We start from the raw sequence: 20,654 nt of genomic DNA, 5'->3' as shown, positions 1-20,654 counted from the left end.
ATCGTGGGGATTACCAGGCCCATTGCCTGTAAGCGTGCGCAGATCAACTGTGTCCACTGACAAGAAACATGTGAGAACTCACTTGGGTGGAATGTTTTCGGGTCTACTGGACCAGTCTGATACCCAGTCCGCACTTTTCTTCAAAGCCTCGACTTCCTTCTCTCCTTCTACAACTTCTTCTTCTGACTGTAAAGAAGAATTCAAACTTTAAGAAAAAAAGGAAGACCAATTCCTCCTAATACAAAGAAAAATCTAGACAGAAAAGATACCAAACTCATAAGGTTGTGTCTCAGAAATTTTAGATAACAAACATGTTGCTTTTCTAAAAAATGCTGAAAAATAATGTAAGATCAGAGTATGTAATATCTTCAGAACAACCTGAGTGAGCTTCACTGTTGGGATATCTAAGCACAGCACAGGAACTGCATAAGACTGTACTTTGGGATGTAATGCTAAGGGAAGTATGAAAAACCTCGATAAGAGTTAAATCTGGGCAATACTTACATGGAGGTCCATTATATTATTCTCTCTTGTATGCACTTAAAATTTTCGTAATTAGGCCGGGTGCAGTGGCTCATGCCTATAATCCCAGCACTTTGGGAGGCTGAGGCAGGCGGATCACTTGAGGTCAGAAGCTGGAGACCAGCCTGGCCAACATGGTAAAACCCCGTCTTTACTAAAAAAAAACACAAAACTTACACGCTGGGTGCGGTGGCTCACGCCTGTAATCCCAGCACTTTGGGAGGCCGAGGTGAGCGGATCACAAGGTCAGGAGATCGAGACCATCCTGGCTAACACAGTGAAACCCTGTGTCTACTAAAAATACAAAAAAATTAGCTGGGCGTGATGGCGGGCACCTGTAGTCCCAGCTACTCGGGAGGCTGAGGCAGGAGAATGGCGTGAACCCAGGAGGCGGAGCTTGCAGTGAGCAGAGATCGCGCCACTACACTCCTGCCTGGGGGAAAGAGCGAGACTCCGCCTCAAAAAACAAAACAAAACAAAACAAAAAAAAATTAGCCGGGCATGGTGGCGGGCACCTGTAATCCCAGCTACTTGAGAGGCTGAGGCAGAAGAATCGCTTGAGCCTGGGAGGTGGAGGTTGCTTGAGCCTGGGAGGTGGAGCCGAGATCCAGCCACTACACTCCAGCCTGGGTGATAGAGTGAGATTCCATCTCAACAAAAAAAAGAAAAAAAAAAATTTCATAATTAAAAAAATAAAAGGAAATAAAAGGATATGCTAAAAATAAAATGATGAGAAGTAAAACAAAAATAAGTGAGAGATGTGATGAGGAAATAAATAATAGTATTTATTGAGCACTTAAAGGGGCAAATATTATTCCAAGCATGTTACATGCATTTTTTTTTTTTTTCTGGAGACAGGGTCTCCTGTGTCACCCAGGCCAGAGTGCAATCACAGCTTACTGCAGCCTCGAACTCCTGGGCTCAATTAATTCTCCCACCTCAACCTCCCAAGTAGCTGGGACTACAGGTGTGTGCCACCACGCCCAGCTAATTTTTGTATTTCTTTAAAGAGACAGTGTTTCACTATGTTGCCCAGCCTGGTCTTGAACTCCCGGGCTCAAGGGATCTTCCCTGCCTCAGCCTCCCAAAGTGCTGGGATTACAGGTGTGAGACACTGCACCCAGCCACATGCATTAACTTTCACCTTGCAACAAATAACCCTATAAAAATAATTATTAAAATCCCATTTTACAGATGAGGAGACTGAGACATAGATTAAATAACTTGCCTAAGGTTCCACAACCAGTACATAGCAGGGCCAGTATTCAAACCCAGGAATACTGTATAGAGAGGCCCTACTGTTAAGCACCAGGGTTTACTCTCTGGAAGGAGATTATATTTTTAGGACAAATTGCTATACAAACATTTTCCAAGGTTTCGAAACTATGTTAGCCAAAAGTTTTTGGGAATAATCTATAATAAGTTGAGTCAGAATTTAACATGTGTCATATCAAATAAAATAAAAAATGTGACTTTTAAAAATTGCTTATTATAACCTAAAGTTTCAGGCCAAGAACAATTAACATTTCCAATAGCTCCCCTTTTAATAGAACCAAAAGGAATGAAAAAGTCCTAAAAATGATATTTATTTATTCAGTATTATTTATTCAGTTTTCTTTTTGAGACGGAGTCTCGCTCTGTCACCCAGGCTGGAGTGCAGTGGCGCGACCTTGGCTCACTGCAACCTCTGCCTCCTGGGTTCTAGCAATTCTCCTGCCTCAGCTTCCAGAGTAGCTGGGATTACAGGCGCCTGGCACTACACCTGGCAAATTTTTATATTTTTCGTAGAGACGGGGTTTCACCATGTTGGCCAGGCTGGTCTCGAACTCCTGACCTCAAGTGATCTACACGCCTCAGCCTCCCAAAGTGTTGAGATTACAGGCGTGAGCCACCGTGCCTGGTCATAGTCAGTTTTAAGGGATGTCATGCTATGATCCCAAACCCAGGGGTCTCAAAACTAAGAAGCATTTTGACATTTTATTTTGTTTGACTAGGATTCACTCAAAAGAATGACCAAAGCTGTCATTCTTTTCAGTAGGTAGCTAAGAAATGCAGAGTCTGACATATTCACATGACTCTTGACAGGTCTAGTTCTCTGTGAAACAGCTACCCCAGGAAGGAGCTTCAGACAGGGCAAAGTAAAACCCCTGTGCGTTCTGCTGCTCTTGTTAGTACCAATCTTATCTAGTTCTGCTGAACTTGGCAAATTCCACTGAATGACACAATGTAGCATTTAGGATTAAGCTCCTTCCATTGGCTATTGAGATTACTCAGAATCATGAGTTGGCTCTTTGGAGTAACACTGAAATCATCCCAAATCAAAAACAATAAACTGTTACAATTTACTTGCACATCAGTTCCTGTACACACAATATCTGACTATACTCAACACACTGCAGGTCGCTTCTGTTTAGTTTCCTGCTTTGGCCTCACAGATCTTTCTTTAAACCTGCTCAAAGATTTAACAAGTTAATATTTCATAATTTCTGACAGAATGAAACGCAGTAAGATTTCACGCTCTAATTTTTTTTTTCATGAGGATGGAATTTTCTCAGTTGAATGAAGCAAAGTTATCTCTGGACAAGTGTTTTAAAAAGAAAACAAAACAAAAAAGAACTCCATAAGTTTCCCAACTTACAATACTTTAAGAATAAGAGTGGTAAGCTTTCCTCATTCACTACCACTCTGTGCTTCCTTTTATTAATCTTAAATTTGCCACTTTCAGGTTTTAAACTGCCTTCCAATTCTTAGAATTCCAGAATATGGTAAAAATGTACTTAATCTAATTACGTAAGATTTGTGCTTTTAAAATCAATAATCCTCTCTCTATACCTACATCTATTCAAAGAAGATTCTGGCTGGGCACCATGGCTCATGCCTGTAATCCCAGCACTTAGGGAGGCCGAGGTGGACGGATCACTTGAGGTTAGGAGTTTGAGACCAGCCTGGCCAGCACGGCGAAACCCTGTCTCTACTAAAAATACAAAAATTAGCCAGGCGTTGTGGTGCACACCTGTAATCCCAGCTTCTTGGGCAGCTGAGGCAGCAGAACCACCTGGAAACAGAGGTTGCAGTGAGCCGATGCCACTGCACTCCAGCCTGGTGACAGAGTGAGGTCCATCTCAAAAACAAAAAACAAAAACAAAGAAGATTCTGATCGTTCTAGCCTGTTCTCTCACATGGAGTTCTTTGTTTTCTGATCACTTAAGTTTTCCTTCTCTGGTTTACCTCAAGGTCACTCTGTCCTCTAAATATGGATATTAAGCTGTATACCATGATTCATGTACAGATAAAAATCACAGTTTTACAAGACAGGAAATGGAGGATATTTTCTGTTTGGATCATTTTTCAGTAACACTCAACATTGTGCTGGCATTTTTGGTCCCAGAAACACAATGCAAAAATGTCTTCAATAAATAATCTATATCGCTTCTCGGACTTTTGGCTAAGATCAAGTGAAGAAACAATCTACAGTCTGTTTTCTGATACAAAACTGAGACTCTTGAGGATGATCATCCGAAAAGCAGTTTCATGGTCTTTTTCCTAAGTGCACACTGCCTTAGGCAGATTCCCCATACCATAACTCAGCAGACATTTTTCAGTTCATTCTCATGGCTTTGTGAGCTCTCCTGTTATCAATCGAATTCATTTACTTAGTTCAGTAGAAAGAACAAGGGCCACAGACTCAGACCTGCTTTGAATCCTGGCTCTAACAGTGACTTGCTTTGTGATCTTAGATAAGTAATTAGTACAAAGCCTCACTTTTTCCACTGGTCCATGGGGATAATATCATTGCTTTCACTGGATTGAGAACATTAAAAGAGAGGTGGGAGTAGTAACTCATGTCTGTAATTCCAGCACTTTGGGAGGCCGACATGGGAGGATCATTTGAGGCCAGGAGTTTGAAAACGGCCTGGGCAATATAGCGAGACTCTGTCTATACAAAAAAAAAATAAAAAAGTAGCCAGGCGTGGCAGTGTGAGCCTGTAGTCCCAGCTACTAGGGAGACTGAGGCAGAAAGATTGCTTGAGCCGGGAATCGAAGTCTGTGGTGAGCTACAACTGCACCACTACACTCCAGCCTGGGTGACAAAGCAAGACCCTGAGACGCTGTCTCCAAAAAAAAAAAAAAAGAAACTGAGTACCTAGAACATATCTAGTTAATGTTAGTGACTTTACTTCCTCATCTTAGAAAAGCTTGAAAATTATATATAGTCCTTATAAACACATATAAAAACATTCTATAAGATCAAGTACAATAACAGTCCTTTAACTGCTTTTTTAAGTTTCCTAACCCTAAACTTTCTTCTTATTCAGGAAGAAAATCAATTTTCCCAAATCCTAAAGAAATTAATTTTTAAATTATTGTTTCTTCCATTAAAAAAAGGCAATGTCAAAGGTTTTTGAAAGTTTAAACTATACCTGCTGACAGCTCCCTTATTAAGTCCTACTCAACTGTTATCTCTCACAGGGGTTAGGCTGTCTTTCCAAACTCTTCCCTTTGTTGAAACTGACCGATCTGATTGTCAACATAAAGTAAGTACCTCCTCTTGATGATAGCCTATGCTCTTTTAGGGATTTGGTCCTGAGAAGGGATCAACACTGGCAAACCTACCAAAGGCCAAAAACCTGACATTTTCTTTCCTGAATTTCAAAAATTCCTTTGGAATTCCAGGGTAGATGCATTCAACTCTAGAATTCCATGTACATTCAATATTGAGTTAAGCCTGATTGCACATCTGCAACTCCATGAGCCAGGAAAGCACTTACCACAGTGCTCCACGGAGTTATTAAGTTCTTAAGGGAAAAACGTATGCAGAGAAGAGGAAGAAAGTCTAAGGTCAAATAAGCTTGGGAAACATTTGGTTTAATTAAACCCATTTCTTTTTTTCTTTTTTTTAGAGACAGAGAGTCTTGCTATGTTGCCCAGGCTGGACTCAAAAACTTGTGGGGCTCAAGGGATCCTCCCACCTCCACCTCCCAAGTAGCTGAGACTACAGGCAAGTGCCACCATGTCCAGCTTAAACTATAATTTCTTTACTGCAGGAACTGGTCAGAATTACTCATGCGACTACTAAGGTGAGAGTGTGGGGGAACCTGGGGCTGCATTACCTTCCATTTATTTGACCTTTGAACAAATGTTCTTGAAAACACATTTTGGAAAATGCTAATCTAAACTTAAAGCTTTCTGTATAAAAGGTGATATAGATTGAAGAAATCCTCCTCAGGAAAGACCACGGCAAAGAATTCGATTTCTCTCCTGGATTCCGTGGTACACTTTCTGCTATGGAGACTTTGTAAGCTTTCTTCTACATCAGCTATAGCTTACTGCATGTGGCCAAACTGACATACATAAGCCAGCAATTCAAATGCTCCAGTCAGATCATCTTATATACGACAGCCTGCTATTGTGAGCTTCTCTACAGTATAAAGCTCATCATCATAAAATAAATTTGTGTTGAATCCAAAGATTTTCGACATTTCAGAGAAAAGCAAAAATAGAGCATAGTAAAGTATAGAGGAATTCTGTGGCCTTTGGAAACAGAAAGAATACTGGGTGGATCTAAGACACACAAAATATTTCTAGTGCCCAGGACACAGAATAGTGAGAACCCGACAAAACAAGGTTTTTGTTGCGACTCATTCAAAGGTTCATTAAACATTTTTCAAGCACCCTAAATACAGGAGAAAAAGATAATGGTTCCCGTCCTCAAGAATTTGTACTCTAATGACACTTTTAGGTGATCTTACATATCAATAAAGTTAAAGGCTGGCTATGAGTATTCTAAATCATTAGCCACAGTTATATACTTACCATATTTTAAGTCTTATAACACAAACATTTGTAAGATTTTAATACTATATCCATCTATGTTTCCAACATTGTCAACTCCTAGTAAACAATATTTATCTTGAAGGAATCCTGCATAATTTAGATAAATTTAAAATTTATCTCAAAAGCCACTGCTTTGATTTCAGATGCAAAAAAAAGTCTTCATGTCTAGTTCTAATACAACCTTCATCTTCATTTATTCTGTGGTCTTTTTTTTTTTTTTTATTTTGTACCTCCACTGGTAGGTTTTTTTTTTTGTTTTTTTTTTTTAATTTAAGTTTTAGGGTACATGTGCACATTGTGCAGGTTAGTTACATATGTATACATGTGCCATGCTGGTGTGCTGCACCCACTAACTCGTCATCTAGCATTAGGTATATCTCCCAATGCTATCCTTCCCCCCTCCCCGCTCCCCACCACAGTCCCCAGAGTGTGATATTCCCCTTCCTGTGTCCATGTGATCTCATTGTTCAATTCCCACCTATGAGTGAGAATATGCGGTGTTTGGTTTTTTGTTCTTGCGATAGTTTACTGAGAATGATGGTTTCCAATTTCATCCATGTCCCTACAAAGGACATGAACTCATCATTTTTTATGGCTGCATAGTATTCCATGGTGTATATGTGCCACATTTTCTTAATCCAGTCTATCATTGTTGGACATTTGGGTTGGTTCCAAGTCTTTGCTATCGTGAATAATGCCGCAATAAACATACGTGTGCATGTGTCTTTATAGCAGCATGATTTATAGTCATTTGGGTATATACCCAGTAATGGGATGGCTGGGTCAAATGGTATTTCTAGTTCTAGATACCTGAGGAATCGCCACACTGACTTCCACAATGGTTGAACTAGTTTACAGTCCCACCAACAGTGTAAAAGTGTTCCTATTTCTCCACATCCTCTCCAGCACCTGTTGTTTCCTGACTTTTTAATGATTGCCATTCTAACTGGTGTGAGATGACATCTCATAGTGGTTTTGATTTGCATTTCTCTGATGGCCAGTGATGATGAGCATTTTTTCATGTGTTTTTTGGCTGCATAACTGTCTTCTTTTGAGAAGTGTCTGTTCATGTCCTTCGCCCACTTTTTGATGGGGTTGTTTGTTTTTTTCTTGTAAATTTGTTTGAGTTCATTGTAGATTCTGGATATTAGCCCTTTGTCAGATGAGTAGGTTGCGAAAATTTTCTCCCATGTTGTAGGTTGCCTGTTCACTCTGATGGTAGTTTCTTTTGCTGTGTAGAAGCTCTTTAGTTTAATTAGATCCCATTTGTCAATTTTGGCTTTGGTTGCCATTGCTTTTGGTGTTTTGGACATGAAGTCCTTGCCCACGCCTATGTCCTGAATGGTAATGCCTAGGTTTTCTTCTAGGGTTTTTATGGTTTTAGGTCTAACGTTTAAATCTTTAATCCATCTTGAATTGATTTTTGTATAAGGTGTAAGGAAGGGATCCAGTTTCAGCTTTCTACATATGGCTAGCCAGTTTTCCCAGCACCATTTATTAAATAGGGAATCCTTTCCCCATTGCTTGTTTTTCTCAGGTTTGTCAAAGATCAGATAGTTGTAGGTAAGCGGCGTTATTTCTGAGGGCTCTGTTCTGTTCCATTGATCTATATCTATGTTTTGGTACCAGTACCATGCTGTTTTGGTTACTGTAGCCTTGTGGTATAGTTTGAAGTCAGGTAGTGTGATGCCTCCAGCTTTGTTCTTTTGGCTTAGGATTGACTTGGCGATGCAGGCTCTTTTTTGGTTCCATATGAACTTTAAAGTAGTTTTTTCCAATTCTGTGAAGAAAGTCATTGGTAGCTTGATGGGGATGGCACTGAATCTGTAAATTATCTTGGGCAGTATGGCCATTTTCACGATATTGATTCTTCCTACCCATGAGCATGGAATGTTCTTCCATTTCTTTGTATCCTCTTTTATTTCCTTGAGCAGTGGTTTGTAGTTCTCCTTGAAGAGGTCCTTCACATCCCTTGTAAGTTGGATTCCTAGGTATTTTATTCTCTTTGAAGCAATTGTGAATGGGAGTTCACTCATGATTTGGCTGTTTGTCTCTTGTTGGTGTATAGGAATGCTTGTGATTTTTGTACATTGATTTTGTATCCTGAGACTTTGCTGAAGTTGCTTATCAGCTTAAGGAGATTTTGGGCTGAGAAAATGGGGTTTTCTAGATAAACAATCATGTCATCTGCAAACAGGGACAATTTGACTTCCTCTTTTCCTAATTGAATACCCTTTATTTCCTTCTCCTGCCTGATTGCCCTGGCCAGAACTTCCAACACTATGTTGAATAGGAGCGGTGAGAGAGGGCATCCCTGTCTTGTGCCAGTTTTCAAAGGGAATGCTTCCAGTTTTTGCCCATTCAGTATGATATTGGCTGTGGGTTTGTCATAGATAGCTCTTATTATTTTGAAATACGTCCCATCAATACCTAATTTATTGAGAGTTTTTAGCATGAAGGGTTGTTGAATTTTGTCAAAGGCTTTTTCTGCATCTATTGAGATAATCATGTGGTTTTTGTCTTTGGCTCTGTTTATATGCTGGATTACATTTATTGATTTGTGTATATTGAACCAGCCTTGCATCCCAGGGATGAAGCCCACTTGATCATGGTGGATAAGCTTTTTGATGTGCTGCTGGATTCGGTTTGCCAGTATTTTATTGAGGATTTTTGCATCAATGTTCATCAAGGATATTGGTCTAAAATTCTCTTTTTTGGTTGTGTCTCTGCCCGGCTTTGGTATCAGAATGATGCTGGCCTCATAAAATGAGTTACAGAGGATTCCCTCTTTTTCTATTGATTGGAATAGTTTCAGAAGGAATGGTACCAGTTCCTCCTTGTACCTCTGGTAGAATTCGGCTGTGAATCCATCTGGTCCTGGACTCTTCTTGGTTGGTAAACTATTGATTATTGCCACAATTTCAGCTCCTGTTATTGGTCTATTCAGAGATTCAACTTCTTCCTGGTTTAGTCTTGGGAGAGTGTATGTGTCGAGGAATGTATCCATTTCTTCCAGATTTTCTAGTTTATTTGCGTAGAGGTGTTTGTAGTATCATTTTTTGTCTATTTGATTCTTCTCTCTTTTTTTCTTTATTAGTCTTGCTAGCGGTCTATCAATTTTGTTGATCCTTTCAAAAAACCAGCTCCTGGATTCATTGATTTTTTGAAGGGTTTTTTGTGTCTCTATTTCCTTCAGTTCTGCTCTGATTTTAGTTATTTCTTGCCTTCTGCTAGCTTTTGAATGTGTTTGCTCTTGCTTTTCTAGTTCTTTTAATTGTGATGCTAGGGTGTCAATTTTGGATCTTTCCTGCTTTCTCTTGTGGGCATTTAGTGCTATAAATTTCCCTCTACACACTGCTTTGAATGCGTCCCAGAGATTCTGGTATGTTGTGTCTTTGTTCTCGTTGGTTTCAAAGAACATCTTTATTTCTGCCTTCATTTCGTTATGTACCCAGTAGTCATTCAGGAGCAGGTTGTTCAGTTTCCATGTAGTTGAGCGGCTTTGAGTGAGATTCTTAATCCTGAGTTCTAGTTTGATTGCACTGTGGTCTGAGAGATAGTTTGTTATAATTTCTGTTCTTTTACATTTGCTGAGGAGAGCTTTACTTCCAACTATGTGGTCAATTTTGGAATAGGTGTGGTGTGGTGCTGAAAAAAATGTATATTCTGTTGATTTGGGGTGGAGAGTTCTGTAGACGTCTATTAGGTCTGCTTGGTGCAGAGCTGAGTTCAATTCCTGGGTATCCTTGTTGACTTTCTGTCTTGTTGATCTGTCTAATATTGACAGTGGGGTGTTAAAGTCTCCCATTATTAATGTGTGGGAGTCTAAGTCTCTTTGTAGGTCACTCAGGACTTGCTTTATGAATCTGGGTGCTCCTGTATTGGGTGCATATATATTTAGGATAGTTAGCTCCTCTTGTTGAATTGATCCCTTTACCATTATGTAATGGCCTTCTTTGTCTCTTTTGATCTTTGTTGGTTTAAAGTCTGTTTTATCAGAGACTAGGATTGCAACCCCTGCCTTTTTTTGTTTTCCATTTGCTTGGTAGATCTTCCTCCATCCTTTTATTTTGAGCCTATGTGTGTCTCTGCACGTGAGATGGGTTTCCTGAATACAGCACACTGATGGGTCTTGACTCTTTATCCAATTTGCCAGTCTGTGTCTTTTAATTGCAGAATTTAGTCCACTTACATTTAAAGTTAATATTGTTATGTGTGAATTTGATCCTGTCATTATGATGTTAGCTGGTGATTTTGCTCGTTAGTTGATGCAGTTTCTTCCTAGTCTCGATGGTCTTTACATTTTGGCATGATTTTGCAGCAGCTGGTACCGGTTGTTCCTTTCCATGTTTAGCGCTTCCTTCAGGAGCTCTTTTAGGGCAGGCCTGGTGGTGACAAAATCGGTCAGCATTTGCTTGTCTGTAAAGTATTTTATTTCTCCTTCACTTATGAAGCTTAGTTTGGCTGGATATGAAATTCTGGGTTGAAAATTCTTTTCTTTAAGAATGTTGAATATTGGCCCCCACTCTCTTCTGGCTTGTAGGGTTTCTGCCAAGAGATCCGCTGTTAGTCTGATGGGCTTCCCTTTGAGGGTAACCCGACCTTTCTCTCTGGCTGCCCTTAACATTTTTTCCTTCATTTCAACTTTGGTGAATCTGACAATTATGTGTCTTGGAGTTGCTCTTCTCGAGGAGTATCTTTGTGGCGTTCTCTGTATTTCCTGAATCTGAACGTTGGCCTGCCTTGCTAGATTGGGGAAGTTCTCCTGGATAATATCCTGCAGAGTGTTTTCCAACTTGGTTCCATTCTCCGCATCACTTTCAGGTACACCAATCAGACGTAGATTTGGTCTTTTCACATAGTCCCATATTTCTTGGAGGCTTTGCTCATTTCTTTTTATTCTTTTTTCTCTAAACTTCCCTTCTTGCTTCATTTCATTCATTTCATCTTCCATTGCTGATACCCTTTCTTCCAGTTGATCGCATCGGCTCCTGAGGCTTCTGCATTCTTCACGTAGTTCTCGAGCCTTGGTTTTCAGCTCCATCAGCTCCTTTAAGCACTTCTCTGTATTGGTTATTCTAGTTATACATTCTTCTAAATTTTTTTCAGTTTTCAACTTCTTTGCCTTTGGTTTGAATGTCCTCCCGTAGCTCACTCTAATTTGATCGTCTGAAGCCTTCTTCTCTCAGCTCGTCAAAATCATTCTCCATCCAGCTTTGTTCCGTTGCTGGTGAGGAACTGCGTTCCTTTGGAGGAGGAGAGGCGCTCTGTGTTTTAGAGTTTCCAGTTTTTCTGTTCTGTTTTTTCCCCATCTTTGTGGTTTTATCTACTTTTGGTCTTTGATGATGGTGATGTACAGATGGGTTTTCGGTGTGGATGTCCTTTCTGTTTGTTAGTTTTCCTTCTAACAGACAGGACCCTCAGCTGCAGGTCTGTTGGAATACCCTGCCGTGTGAGGTGTCAGTGTGCCCCTGCTGGGGGGTGCCTCCCAGTTAGGCTGCTCGGGGGTCAGGGGTCAGGGACCCACTTGAGGAGGCAGTCTGCCCGTTCTCAGATCTCCAGCTGCGTGCTGGGAGAACCACTGCTCTCTTCAAAGCTGTCAGACAGGGACATTTAAGTCTGCAGAGGTTACTGCTGTCTTTTTGTTTGTCTGTGCCCTGCCCCCAGAGGTGGAGCCTACAGAGGCAGGCAGGCCTCCTTGAGCTGTGGTGGGCTCCACCCAGTTCGAGCTTCCCGGCTGCTCTGTTTACCTAAGCAAGCCTGGGCAATGGCGGGCGCCCCTCCCCCAGCCTCGCTGCCGCCTTGCAGTTTGATCTCAGACTGCTGTGCTAGCAATCAGCGAGATTCCGTGGGCATAGGACCCTCCGAGCCAGGTGTGGGATATAGTCTCGTGGTGCGCCGTTTTTTAAGCCGGTCTGAAAAGCACAATATTCGGGTGGGAGTGACCCGATTTTCCAGGTGCGTCCGTCACCCCTTTCTTTGACTCGGAAAGGGAACTCCCTGACCCCTTGCGCTTCCCAGGTGAGGCAATGCCTCGCCCTGCTTCGGCTCGCGCACGGTGCGCGCACCCACTGGCCTGCGCCCACTGTCTGGCACTCCCTAGTGAGATGAACCCGGTACCTCAGATGGAAATGCAGAAATCACCCGTCTTCTGCGTCGCTCATGCTGGGAGCTGTAGACCGGAGCTGTTCCTATTCAGCCATCTTGGCTCCTCCCTATTCTGTGGTCTTAAAGCATCTATCTCAGTCTTTTTCTACTTATACACTCAAGAAACTAGCCTGGAGTATTGGCATGATTTATTATGGACAAGAATTTTCCAATTCGTTTAGAGTGACAGGGCCCAAAATCCTTAGTTGTAAAGGAGTGCGACAAGAACTATATCATCCTAAATAAATTCCAAAATCAGAAACTCAATAATAGCTTCAAACTATTCCTAAAAGTCTTCACATTTATTTTAGCAAAATATACTTAGAGAATTTACATCTTTCTTAATTGTTTACTGTAAATCAGAATCCCCCCGACACACCTGAGAGCTATGGTCCCTGCTGGTGTGCATTTCCACATCAAACATGATCTGCCCATCTTCTTGTGGCGAAGGGCTAGAAGAGAAGGAATTCAGCTATTAGTTTTAATTCTCACTTTGTCAAATGACTTAGTCTCTACTAGAAATTAGAAAATTAAAAGTTACAGCAGTATGGCTTTGAAAAAGCAAATCAGAGAATATATCATAACCCTATACAAGAAAAATTTATGTGATATTAAAAGGCTAAATGAAATTGAGCATTCTTACTCCCAAAATGTTCTGCACTTTTTCAGTAGTAATGAAATCCTTCAAAATGATAAATTTGCAAAGGAAATACTATCTACAGACACAAACTGTCACATTCTCTTATATTTACTCTTTTGTCCACTAAAGGTAAAATAATCTTCAAATTCAGGAACTTCAGAGTTCTTTTTCTCAAAGTTCCCTCATCATTAAATAATTCACCAGTAGTTCTCAAAGTGCATAAGGTAGTTCTCAAAGACGCTTTCAGAGGGTCTTTGAGGTTACAGTTCCTTTCTCAATACTAGTAGGATTTATTTGCCTTTTTCATTCTCATTCTCCCATGTGTATAGTGGAATTTTCCAAAGGCTACATGATGTGTGATAGCACAACAGTTAGAATGCAAACACAGATGAGAACCAGCTGTCTTCTATTAAGCTTGGTATTAGAGATTTGTAAATGTGTAAAACAATGCCACTATTCTTATTAACTTGGAGGGTTTATAGAAAATAGGTATTTTCACTAAAAAATGCTACTTATGTTAAAATGTATTATTTTTGAATGAATATATATTTTCTCAGTTTTAATTTCTAATATAGTAAATATCAAAATATATAAACCCACAAACAAGTTTTTTGGGGTCCCTAATGATTTTTAAGAATGTAAAGGTATGTAATGACCAAAAACTTTGAGAACCACTATTTTACTTATTTCAGAAATATTTGCTTTGAGATATTTCAGAGTGAATTATATAACTTATATATTAATATAAAACCTTTATGATTGCACAAAATACATTCTTAGAACTGTAAAAATTTACAAATAAGTTTTTAGACAAAAACAACATGATCACAAACTGCACTTGATACAAGAGATGAACAGAATGTGCTAAGTTAATTTCTTAGCTTTATTAATGATTTCTTGTATAAAAACTGAAAGTCACTGGGGATCCTTCACTACATACACAAACCCTCCCCCAAAATCTAAAATAGAAATAAAAAATATTTGGGGCTTAACTTGCTGAAAAGAATAGATATTAACTATTAAAGTTATCAAGAGTATGTATATAATGTTAATTAATGTATAGAGACGTTGGTGAGACTGACTCAGAAATAAGATCGTCAGAAATTTATCAGACAGATTAGGCCTAGGAGTCTTTTAGACTAGTATAATTGACATAGGAGATTTTTAAATGGGGACAGGAAAACAGAAAAGCTGGTTCTGTATCAAACCAACGTCATATATATTTAGGAAATTTTTGTCTTGAACTAGCACAGGAGTCAACCCGAACTGGGCACTCCTACTGGCCTCAGTTTACTATCTTTGTGCTCATAACTGTTGGGTTCACAGCTACACATCAAGTTAAGGGTCAGCCTTACATAGCCGTGACCAGGTCAAGGCAGTCAGGGTGACAAAGTCAAGAATCCTATGGAAGCATTGCTCTGCTTCTATATGCTTCTTCACACTGGTACCAACCTCTTCTCTAAACTGTTTACTCCTCCTAACAATTTGGAATGCATTAGAGCTTCACCCATGGCACATATTAGAATCGGCTGGGGAGCTTTTAAAATATTGTGACGTCTCTACCCTGCCCCTGTCAACCAAAATGAGAAGTTCTTGAGATGCAGTCCATGTGCTGCCATTTTTAAAAGCTTCTGGGTGAATCTAGTGTGCCGTCAAGGTGAAAACCCCTGTGACAGGGTGAAAGGCAAAGCAGAACACACTGGGGTTCCCAGCTAACAACCCCTGCGGCAACACAAATATTTCTATGGAATAATTTTTAAGTTGAAAATATACATAAATCAGCTCTAGGACTGATACCCAACAACCCTAAAACATTTCCCCCTACAAGAAACACTTTCCAATTACTTTTCACATATAGAGACGCATGGCAATTCAGATGATGTGAGTTTTGAAGACACTCCTCAATGGTAAAGCGTGTTAGTAGGCTATCCCAGAAGACTCGAGTTCTAGCCATTCTCTGAAAGATGACCACTAATCTAGGGCCTGGAGAGACATAAGATGAGGGGTACGAAAGTGTTCAAAAGCATTTGCCATGCCTCCTCATGGCAACCTAAACTTAAACATGATCATAGGAGGGTGAAGGCATATTCAGTCACACGTAAAACTGCACCATAAATGAAGTAAGATGAACAGACAGGTAAGCAGGTGACTGTTCTCTGCTCATTGACAGCACCATGTGAACAACAGGCTCATGGACACCATGGTATCAATGATCAAGGCCCACACACCTGAACGCAGAGTGAAAGCCTTGTTGACAGGCCATAACAAGCAGAAAACTTGAGAAACCCATCAGCAAGTTCCATAATATAAATATAAATCTTCATTCGGAAAGACAGACTAATGCTGTAGCTACTGGAATCAAGGGCAAGCTGTTCAGAAGAGAGCCATCTGCTCTGGTTCCGCTTATGACAAGAGCCATCCCAGGCTCTAAGAAGCACAGGGACAAGTCAGGGATGACACGGGGGTGGCGGGGGTGCACAGTGTGCCACAGAGCCAACAAACCAGTCCCCCGCTGCCTTGGCAACATTAGTGGATCATAAGCCACTCAGGAAGTTGGACATGATTTAACTCATTTCTCCTTTTTTTCACTTCTTCTGATAAGTAATAATATGTGCAATATACACAATTTTTACAAAATACAAAAATGTTAAGAAGAAACATATCCATACTGCATTCCTAAAAATAGTCACTGTTTACATTTCCTTAATCTGCTTCCCGTGCATTTGCATTTTCTAAATGGTTAACATCAGTTAACAACCACCCAGAAGGTCATCCAGTGCCCCATAATGCTAACAGTGTAGCTGTCACTGAAACAAGAATTTCTTAAATGTCATTTAATATCTAGCCCTTCTGAAAAAAAAAAAAAAAAACAGAAAAGTTTATACTAAAAAATAATGACCTGGTTTCATTCCACACACATATCTCGTTGTATTCTTACTCTTTCACCATAAGCAGTCCTTAATCCATGTAATTAGTTTCTTCAGCTCAAATATAGAAAAATGAGGTCTGAAACAAAACATCCCCTGAGAAAGCAGAGGAGACTTCAAAACTATCTTTACAGACCTTGGTTGGTGCTTCCAACTGTGCAAATATTGCTATAACGTGAAGCAACCTGCAGTTCCTATGAATCAAACATTTACTGAGTGTCTACTACGTGCCAGCACCATTACTGTGAAGGTAATAAAAATTAAACATGGCCCCTGCCCTTTGCAACGTCAACATCTAGAAGGGAAGACACATATATACAGAGGTAACTAATTCAAGAACAGTCTGTGATCTGTAACACAGGGACACAAAGGAAAATGGGGGAAAGTCAGATTAATTCTATAAATTAGCATTTATGCCACTGAATTTTAAACTGATAAACTGCTAGAAACAATATAATCTGGGTAAGAAAAATGACAATCTGGGGAAAAACAGTGGGCACTGAAGCACCTGTCAATTAGCTGTCTCATATAAACACAATATATATCTGTGCAATATATATTATACTACAATATATCAGGAGGCATATTTTGCTAAGTGAAGATTTAAGCAAACAGATTTTTCCTAGAGTGAATGAGCCCTGTAACCCACCTGTTTCCTGAATTCCACCAAAACATGGGTCTCACTTACCTGTCACAGTGAGAACTGCCTCTGGAACTACTCTGTCCTGATTCATGTTGTGCATCCAAAAGAATCTTCTCCATGTCTCCATTGTGGATGGAGGATGAGGATGGTACGTGTTCCAGCCCCCCATTTTTCCCATTGCCATTATCATTGCCATTGCTGCTGTTCATGGGTAGCTCCACCCAGGAACCTGTTGGACAAGTCAGATAAGTTAACCACAGCAGAACTGAAATCTGTCATGTGCACACAGATGTGAACATGGTGAATCCAGATAAGAATTCTGACTCTCCTCAAACCAAATGTAAAAGTATTCTGAAGAAAATAAATAAGAAGTAATAAAAGTCTAAAGATCTATATAGTTCTGTTCCTGAAATAGCTCATGCCATCAACTGAGAAACAGCTCAAACTCTAAAACATCTCAGAAAACGTGTTTTTCAGTCAATTTCTCTCTGGGTAAAGCTTGGTTTATAATAACACTCTACTGAAAACTCAGGTTGCTTTTCAAAAAAAAATTGCTACTTTTAGGCTATTTACCTTTAACATTTTAGTTGGTGTATATATACACACACACTTTCTTCATAGTCTACCTAAGCTGCTCAGCTGTATCTGCTCCAGAAATGAAATAAATATATCACCTACAAATTTCATAAAAGGTCATCTAAGTAAGTTAGCAACTATATCCTACTTAGTGCAAACAACTGAGAAACTCCTAGAGAGGGAACCTAAATCCAATAGCAAAAATTTCAATTTGTGCACAAATCAGGAGCATAAAATTAATGCAGCTGGTTAACTAAATCAGGTAATAATGCTAAAAATTCAGAAAAAAGCTTTATCTCTATCTCACTGATTAGTTTCTTCATTTCCTTTGTATCTCAGGCTTTCTAGTCCTTCTCCTTTTTTATACACTAAACATACCTTGTGAACTTGTCTTTTTTCTTTTCTCTCCCACGGGTTTCTACTTTCTAGGGTTTTCATTAAACCCTGTTGATTTGGGAGCAGAAACAACTGCACATCAGCTACAGGCAAACACGAAAAGTTTTCTTGGACAAAAAGTTGAAGGGGTGGAGCCACAGAAAAAGGGGATGTGCCACTGGTAATTCTGCATACATCTTGAAAATATTTATTGGTCTGATGAGTTTGCTAAACGTATTAAGGTGCTTTAATTTTAACAAGAGTTGAGGCCAGGTACAGTGGCTCACACATGTAATCCCAGCACTTTGGGAGGCTGAGGCACCAGGATTGCTTGAATCCAGGAGTTTGACACCAGCCTGGGGAACATGGCAAGACCCTGTCTCTACAAAAGAATAGTAAGTAAGTAAGTAAATAAATTGTTAACAGTAGCCAATAAACTTAACTTCACAGCAAAAAGAGATAGTGGTATATTTTGTTCATAATTTCCATTTCTTACAATAAATTTTGTTTTAGAAAATGTACCCAAGCAGCTTGGTGTGGCCATCCCTCTAAACTCCCAGCAGAAGTGTTAGAGAGTTCCAGGGATGAACAAGGAGTTCCATCAGTAAGTTGAAGTAAAATCATCAAAACTGGCTCAAACTCTAAAATGCACTCTAAATGTGGCGATGGCTACACCAGTTCCAGAGTGAACTGAACATCACCCTCACAAGAAGGAAAGCTCCAAGGCAGACCTAGCTGGGAATCTGACCCCATCACTTCCTGTCTACCTGTGTGACCTGAGCTTCAGCTTCCTCATTTGTAAACAGAGATAATAATAACACCGGGGTGCTGTGACGATTTAGTAGTATCAAGTGCTGGTAAATAGAAGATGCTCAGTTATACACTAGAATTTTCTTTTATAAATACTTAGAACCCTTTCCTTTCCATTTGAGGCAGCCCCAGTGGCTACCACCATCCCATAGTCACCACCAATTCCTTAGGACTCTGCTGCCAAACGACACAGTTGTACAACATCTCCATGGCCTCATTCTATACACACATAAAATGGACACAGGCTAGAGAACTCAAAATGGATTAACAAATACAACTAGCAAAGCTAAGAGAGATCTAACATTGAAGATAATTTATCTCGAGTGCCTCTGGAGTGTATAAGAAATACGCCAAAAGCATCCCTAAATTTAGAGCTCTGCAACATATTTCAACTGGAGAGAAAGGGGGTGGGGGAGAGAATATGTATATAAAAACAGTTTTTTTTTCTGACTCTCACTGTTTCTAGGATTTTCAAACTTATTTTTAAACCAATGGGACCAGTTCTTCTTGTATAGAAGCCTAATGTGTACAATAGTAACAAACCAAAACCCAGAGCTGCTCTGACAGAAGCAGAGGTAAGGAACCAGGAGTTCCAGATAGGTCTCTGTGGAAGTCAGTCTTCCCTAAAATACAATTAATATTCACTTGAAGTAGGCAATCGAAGAGAAAAAAGGGTGTAACAAACAATATCAGGTTTTCTGGTCCTTACTTTTGTTTTTCTTTTGAGACAGTCTTGCATTGTCACCCAGGCTGTAGTACAGTGGCACAATCACAGCTCACTGCGGCCTTGATTCCTGGGCCCAAGCAATCCTCCCACCTCAGCCTCCCAAGAAGCTGGGACTACAGGGCACATGCCACCATGCCCGACTTATTTATTTATTTATTTATTTATTTATTTATTTAGTAGAGACAGGGTCTCCCTACATTGCCCAGGTTGGTCTCAAACTCCTGGGCTTCAGCAATCCTCCCACCTCAGCCTCCCAAAGTGCTGGGCTTACAGGTATGAGCCACTGCTCCCAACCTGGTTTTTACTTTTTTGAAGGACTTTCAAATCAATGTCTGGATCCTATTTTCTTCATTAAAAACACATAAGCAATCATAATCCAATATATACTTTTGGAACCTGAAAGAGACATACCTAGAAAAGCTTAGTAAAAGTGATCTCTGCTGTGGCCTCCACACCCTGAATCATAACTGAAAGCATTTCTACTTAAGGCGGACAATTTGTACTTGGGATACACTGGTATAGTGTGGTCAGGGGCTGAGACTGAAGCCAGGCTCCCACTCTCAGTTATAGCTGTTACCCTCGCACAGGGTACTTAACCTCTTTGTGCCTCAGTTTTCTCATCTATAAAATAGAGATAATAACTGTATCTACCTCGAAGACTTTGTTAGGAGGATTAAATGAATATAGCACGCAGAACAATAAGAAAGGTCCCTAAGAAAGTTTTAGCTACTACAATTATATTCTATATCATAGAAAAACCATTCCTTACTGGAAAAATGTGTTCCTAGAAAACGTAAACATCAGTACATAAAATTAAAAATTAACATCTCTCCCAACCTCCCGTTCCTACTCCCAAAGGAGCCACTTTTGACAGTTTCACATGGAGACTTGCAGAGTTTTTGTCAATGAAATATAGGTCTGTTTTTGCTTTTGTTTTTATAAAGAAATGGAACTGTACCATACACACATACTGACATATTCTGTAAGTCGTTTTTCAGATGTCTTCCCTATCAATATATACTGACATTCATTCTTTTGAACAACTGCATTGCATCTCATCTTTTATAAAGATATACCATACTTTAACCATTATCTAAATGGCAATGGTTAACTACTACTGAGATGGTTGTTTCTAATACTTTGTTATTACAATTAGGGCTTCAGTGAACATTCTGGAGAATAATTTGACAATAGGTATTAACAGCCTTAAAAGTGTAGATTTCCTTTAATTAATTAAGGGTAATTCTCTTTCAAAAATATCATCTATGGAAATACATAGTGGTACAGAGAAAGTTATGTACACAGGCATTAAGAGGCTACATATTAATCTTTTGAGTAACACATAAAAAAGCAAATGTGTCTTCCTCAATAGATGAACAACACGTCTGTTTCCCATCACCCGATTTGTTCCTGATTTACAGCCTCAGAATTTCTTAGTGTTCTAACTCTACC

The 20,654-nt window shown here is 39.8% G+C and overlaps 1 protein-coding gene across 2 annotated transcripts in view, besides 2 other annotated features; it reads right to left on the bottom strand.

Moving 5' to 3' along the window:
• Positions 1–20,654, bottom strand: part of BNIP3L (BCL2 interacting protein 3 like) — a 30,074-nt gene that overhangs the window by 4,942 nt on the left and 4,478 nt on the right. Inside the window, exons 1-4 of one of the 2 annotated variants that reach the window (NM_001330491.2) lie at positions 17,669–17,773; positions 16,760–16,943; positions 12,884–12,956; positions 83–186 (exon numbers count right to left, since the gene is read on the bottom strand). In NM_001330491.2, coding sequence (NP_001317420.1) covers positions 83–186; positions 12,884–12,956; positions 16,760–16,923 — 341 coding nt within the window. In that variant the 5' untranslated portion in view covers positions 16,924–16,943; positions 17,669–17,773. Of the gene's footprint in view, positions 1–82; positions 187–12,883; positions 12,957–16,759; positions 16,944–17,668; positions 17,774–20,654 lie in introns of those variants that run through there. The other variant, NM_004331.3, reaches the window with a different exon arrangement.
• Positions 16,883–17,027: an enhancer, noted in NCBI's record as "145 bp enhancer 260 fragment used in the MPRA reporter construct; PK_construct_4143". NCBI's record gives its function as "activates an SV40 promoter by MPRA in K562 cells {active_cell/tissue: K562}" and the evidence as "EXISTENCE:reporter gene assay evidence [ECO:0000049][PMID:23512712]".
• Positions 16,947–16,964: a transcriptional cis regulatory region, noted in NCBI's record as "GATA motif; enhancer activity is reduced when this motif is scrambled". NCBI's record gives its function as "necessary for full MPRA enhancer 260 activity {active_cell/tissue: K562}" and the evidence as "EXISTENCE:site-directed mutagenesis evidence [ECO:0005528][PMID:23512712]".

The sequence above is a fragment of the Homo sapiens genome, chromosome 8, assembly GCF_000001405.40.
Source record: "Homo sapiens chromosome 8, GRCh38.p14 Primary Assembly".
NCBI classification, from domain to species: Eukaryota; Metazoa; Chordata; class Mammalia; order Primates; family Hominidae; genus Homo; species Homo sapiens.
This window is presented reverse-complemented; position numbering and strand designations above follow the sequence as displayed.